General features: G+C 33.8%; 1 long non-coding RNA gene across 1 annotated transcript; it reads right to left on the reverse strand.

Annotated features, from left to right (window-relative positions):
* Window positions 1–464: 464 nt before the first annotated feature.
* LOC124900793 (uncharacterized) lies at window positions 465–5,705 on the reverse strand. Its single transcript, XR_007058293.1, has 2 exons — window positions 5,334–5,705; window positions 465–580 (listed from the first exon to the last, which is right to left on the reverse strand). It is a non-coding gene; the product is annotated as an uncharacterized LOC124900793 (long non-coding RNA).
* Window positions 5,706–6,345: the final 640 nt, after the last annotated feature.

Raw genomic sequence — 6,345 nt, forward strand, 5'->3', positions numbered from 1 at the left:
TGCTATAGTTCTTATCCCATTTTAGAAGAGCAGTTTGAGCTGGAATTTCTTATTTAGCTTTTACTCTAGACTACCTGCAAACCATTAAAAATGTATCCCCAATTGGGCTCATGGTTAATTAACTGTTCTTTGCCAAATCCATCTGTAAAGATTCAGTATAAAACACCTTTTATTTCCCATTTTGCTCATGATCCTAAGTTATTTGGTGTCTCTGCTTAGGCTAATTTTGACCTAATTCTCATAAAAATAAATACAGTGGTGTTAGAGTTTTCAACATTTAGGCATCACAGTTGCCTACTTGGAGCTAACACTGCTCTTGAGGAATGAATGACACAGCATATACAGTGCACTAAAGTCCTAGGAAGAAGTGACTTGTGTGTGCAGCCCCACAAAGCTCCCATTAATGAAGAGGGTGTTTAATTAAATCTTATAACCCTGAAATAAGAATCTACTCCCATACCATGTTGAAATAGTCCTTAAAGCTGCCATTTATTACATGCTTACCATCTGCAGCAGTAACTTAAACATTTTTTTAGTGATAAGAGCTTCACCTCCTCCATTCTCACTTGATTCTTCACTTCTGAGATACAGAACACAGGGCGAGAAGAATCAAAGTTAGTTAACTAAGATAGAATTTATCAACCATTAACAGTTATAGGCCTTATGATTCCATAAAGTTTCCAAAAGGCAGTATCAGATACAAAAACCCAAGCATCCATATAAAAATTGGATCCTTTCATTGCCATTTGGTCAAGGAACAAGATGAAACATGAAAATAACTCTAGTTCAGAAGTCAGAAGACCTGAGTCATTTACTACTTGTGGTTTCAGTTTCGTCTGTCCTGTGGGGGTGACACACCTGCTTTACTTACCTGACAGGGTTGCTTTAAGAATTTGCGAAAAAATGGGCATGGATGTTCTTCGTAAACAATAAAATATTTTACAAAATATTTGAATAATTTACTTTCATTTTATGTGTATAAAAATGAAATATATTTTTAAAAGAAATTTTTATTAAAATCTTTCAAAAGGTCTTCTAAAAGATTCTTAATAAAATTTTCTAGTTCTTATCATAAACATAAGGGGTAGGGGTAGCAAGACAGCAGCTACCCAAGGAATAAGACAACAGAAAGCTCAAAATCTGGCATCAGGGAGAACTCTAAAAATACTTAAATCTTTCTAAGAAAGTCTGTAGAAGAGGGATTCACAATTTTCCACAAGAACCAATTTAAATTTAATAGCTGATTTTTACACTACAAATCAGCAAAATATTCATACAAGCAGAGTTATTTATTGGCCACCCCAGGGCATTTGTCCTTAGATTGGCCCCTTCTTGCATCTTTACAATGTTTTTGGACACCTGTGAAATTCTGAAGGCAAAACAAAACATCTGCTCACACTCATGCCTCTGAGTCTTATGAGTCAATTTTATTATTAAGGGTGTTATCAGAGTAGGACTTAGATTAGACCACATGTAAACAGCAATGGTAAATTGGATAGATGAAATATTATTTTAATTGAGATTATACTAATTCATTTATAATTTTTGCTAATCCAATGAAGGACCCCTAATTGTCTAAGTGCCTCAGAGCCAAAGTTACTTACACAAGGCCAAAATAATTAAACACAAGCCTCAGTATGAAGTAAATTCAATAGTTCAAGATGAAGTTTGGAGATACATGAATTTCTCTAAGAAGGACGGGGGAAAAAGAGACACATCATGCTTTACACGGCTCAGTTTAGATTAAATCACATTAATATTTTCTAAACAAAGTTGTAAAGTCACAAAATGTCTTAATATTCACTAAGAAGTCACAGAAATACAATTTAATACTTTTCTCTGTATTAAATCAATCTCCTCCTCTCCACCTCTCCATCCTTTTATCTCTCCCTCCATCCTTCCTTCCTCTTTTTTCTGAAAAGCAATGAGCTTATCTGCCAAATAAATAGGAAACAATATAGCCTGGCCTTCTTTTCATTTTTTAATTTTTTGTCTCCTTCCTGCATCACCCCTCTTCCCTAACAAGTGAAGTGAAGAGAGAAGATTTTATTTGATTAGGTCAAAGGTGAGGATCCCAGGACAACATTGTCCTTTTGTCTTTGGTATGGCAGAAAACATAAAACCAGAGGCTACATACCTAACTTATCCACACATACCATCAACATCAATAAGTATTCTACCACCTAGCCTCAGGCAGCTGATTTCTTATAGCATTCTGCCCTCCAACCACTCCTCTGTCCTAATCACCCAGCTTTCTTTCGACTGCTCATCCATTCCTTATATTTTTGTCTTAGCTACTGTTTGTAAATAAGAAGCAGCTACATCCTACCTACGTATTGTAACAGTGACATGAATCTTTCTGATGCCCAAGTGATGTCAAATTATTGCTATGAGGTATTCGATACTAGACAATATTATGTAGAAGAGATGATAGAAAGATAGTCTAACACATACACGTACATACATGCATACGTATATAGGGGGAGTTATTTCAGAGTTACTCAAAGATAAATATTCTATTTAGTAGTTCTATTACTTAGTCGAATTCATCTAAGCTGTTTTCTCCAATCTGAAAGAGAGATAATAAGACCTATTTTGTAGGAATGTTGTAGGAATTAAATATTACATAAAGAATATCATGTGACTGGCACAAAGAAAGTGCTCAGTAAATGTTAACTATTTTTAATGTTGTGAGGATGAGAAACAGTTTATGCAAGGAATCAAGCAGGGTGTCAGGCCTAAGTAGACATTCAAAGGGACCTGGGTCCCTCTAAATGGCAATCTTTTCTTCCTTTTTCATATTTTAGTATTAAAAGATGTAAGTGAACAAGATCACCAAATAACAACACTTGTAATTCACATGAACAAAAAAATAAAATCAGCAGATAACTTTATTGCAAAAACACTTAAAAGGACCTTTTTAGCAAAGAATACGATTCAAATTCAACCTATTACTATTCCAGATAATGCTGGAATTACTTCCCAAGTTGGAAATAGCATACTCGCTGGATAGACTGGATCTTGTTGTCAGTCGTGTGATATTTTCAACAGGCATGGGAGAAAAGAGAGTCTAGTATGGGGATAACTAAATCTTAACAGTTGCTGAAAGAACAACTTACTCTCTGACGTCTTTGGGATGAAAAATTATCTATTCACTTGACAAGCACACATGACAAATGCCAAATGCCCTGTATATCTTATGTTATATGAAATTAAAGATGTGGTACTGTTTGCATTATGGTGATAATTTCTTTAACAATTATTTTTATTATCAAATATTTCAAATTTTTAAAAATGGTAGAGCATATAATGAACCCCTGGGTATATACTACCGGCTTAAGAAATGAAACATTACAAATGTAATTGAAACCCCCCTGTGTTCTCATTTCTCAATTCCCCTGTTTCGTAGAACTCAAGGTAATCACACTGAATTTGTTGTTATTTATTCACATGGGGTGCATTCTTCAGGGTTACTTCCTCAGGCTAAGTTAAAACAGCCAGTCTTCTATCAATCTTCAGACTTAATTATTCCCTTTGTGCCTTTGAGTAGAATTTATGAAGTGGCAAGGTTTAATGATATTAGAATTAGGTCCTACTTCTTAAATTAAATCCAAAAGATGGGAAATACCATTTTAAGGCCACAACAACTGTGAAATGTAATGTTCTTTAAAAAAAAAATCAAGTCAAGGATATTTAGAAACATGTGAAAAAAGACTTTACAGATGTGGAAAGAATTCCAGATTTGAGTTTCAGTAATATGGAAAACTATACATAAAAACTCTCCTGCTAGATAAACTGGAAATGCTGGGAAAAAATACATGAACTTATAATGCTTAGCTGAGCTCATATAAAAGAAAAATATACAGATGCCAGGAATAATGAAGCAACTGAAAACCGGACTGGCACATGAGTAGTCTATCCTGTGTTTGCCTCGATGGTGGGTGGTGAGTAGGAGTTGTCATCTAGGAGTTTGATTTTTCAGGGAATGTGAAAAAGAAAAAACATAGGAGATGAGAACTTAACTCTTGCAATGTGGCATACTGAAACTAAGATCTCTGTATAAAACTCGAAGAGCTAAACTCTCTGGCCACCAGCAAAAGAAGACAATAGACAATAGTGAAACTGGTTCTTCTATGCTTGGGCTCTAGGTGGGGAAAAGAAATCTCTTGAGAATCCATAATATGAGCCTGAACTCATACAGGATTGAAATTATCTCAAATGTGGCCTAGAAAGCCACAAGTCAAGAAATTACAAAGAAATAGGTCCCAAGCCAGGGATCTCTAGAGAGTACATGCAGAAGTAAACCCAAAACTATTCTGAAAGACAATTCTTAACCCAGGCTGCACAGGAGTTTTACAGACAAAGCCCTGCTGAAGATAAGCTCACAATGCAAGGTTTAAAACAAAAGAGAAAACAATCCACACTGGGTGGAAAAACCCATAGAAATACCCAAGAAATTCACATAATGAAAGTGTCTTACAGAGATTACTAAATAATTATGACAAAAAGAATTATCACATATTTTCACTGAGTCTAAAATCTAAAAATTTGATAACTACTACAAATTCTGAATTCCTTAATATACATAAAAATAAAAAATGGAGAGCCACTGTTAAGAGAAGGATTAATAACTGCACTTTTGGGGACGATCAAGGCAAAATCAGAAATAGAAAACATTGAATTATTTGCCACTGGCTTGCATTGGCACCGTGTAATAATAAATATAAAGTTGTAAATGCACATTTTAGCTACTGCAGGAAAACACCTCCTCTCAGAAATGTGTAAACTGATGCTCTTTCATCAAAAGGGCCTACAAAAACACAGACGTAGAGCAAGTTACTACCCTATATAGCATCTAGAGGATGTTGCTCTACACACCAAAGCTCACGTGATAGTTTTAAAGTTAGGGGTGGCAGTGGTAAAGAAATAGGATATATTCATCTTTACATGTTTTCTTATATATATTTGTAATGCCTTATAGATTAATGATCAATATATTCACCACTGTTCCATTACTTATTCTTCTGAGGCTCCCATGTAATAGACACCTATATAAATATCTTAGCATGATATTCATATCTGTTAATTAACTTTAACATAAACTTGAAATTTCTGCTCACTTACACATAAGCAGTCAATGAGTTCTGTCTATTGTATTGTATATATCCAGTCATTCCTTGCCACTTCCACTGCCACACCCCTGTTTGGGTTGGCTGGTCATCACATCACACATGGATTTTTCCTTTCGTTATCAAATATTTTATTGCAAGCTTACTATGTATCAGGTACTATTGTCCTAAGTGCTACCTTATTAAAAGAATTTCAGTCCCTACCTTTATTGTCTCTAGTGCTTGCTGCTCCATTTGAATCTTGTTGACTTAACCTTCTTAAAAGACGTATTGTTCACCTGTTTAAAACCCTTTAATGAAAATAATAACAATAAAAAAATAAAAATCCTTCAATGGTTCCCTGGAACTTAGAAGATACAAACAGAAATTTTTACTTTGATACTGAAAGACTCTCCAAAATCTGGCCTCAAACTATCTTTCTAAAGTTTTCTGTCACCTAGATGTTTACTTGTATTGGTTTGGGAGGCAGTGTCTTCCAAATAAGCCATATCAATTTTTGTCTCATCAGAGTCAGACTGAGTAAAAAACAAAACCTAATTATATTTTGTTTACAGAAAACATATAATAAATACAGGAATGCAAAAGGGTAGCAAATAAAAGAATGGAAAAAAACATAGCATTCAAACATTAATCAAAAGAAACTAGTATAGTTTTATTAAATCAGACAAAGTAGATTTTATAGCAGAAAACATGACTACAGATTTAAAAATGTACACTTGAAAATAAGCATACTTCATAAGTATAATTCATAAATACTTCAAAATTTCTGGTTTGATCTGCCAGAAAGATACAATAATTCTAAATATGTATGTACTTACAAATATGGCCTCAAAACATATAAAGAGACAATTGACAGAATTATAAGGAAAAGCAGACATATCCACAATCATATGGAAGAGTTTCATACAACTTTCTTATTAACCGATAGACCAAGCAGACACAAAAATCAGTAGTATTAAAATATTGGATGATACACTAAAAAACCTAATTACTTGACATACATAGAACACTGCACCCCAAAACTCAAGGGTAAATACTATTTTCATGAAACATTAATAAAAATTGAGCATATGCTAGGATATTAAAGCAAGTTTCAACAAATTTCAAAAAATGTTCCCTGACCACAGAGCAATTATTCTGTAAGTCAATGATAAAAGGATACCTTGAAAATCTCTATATATTTAAGGAGAAAATTAAGCAACATGCTTCTAAATAA

The sequence above is a fragment of the Homo sapiens genome, chromosome 4 (assembly GCF_000001405.40).
Source record: "Homo sapiens chromosome 4, GRCh38.p14 Primary Assembly".
In the NCBI taxonomy this organism is placed as follows: domain Eukaryota; kingdom Metazoa; phylum Chordata; class Mammalia; order Primates; family Hominidae; genus Homo; species Homo sapiens.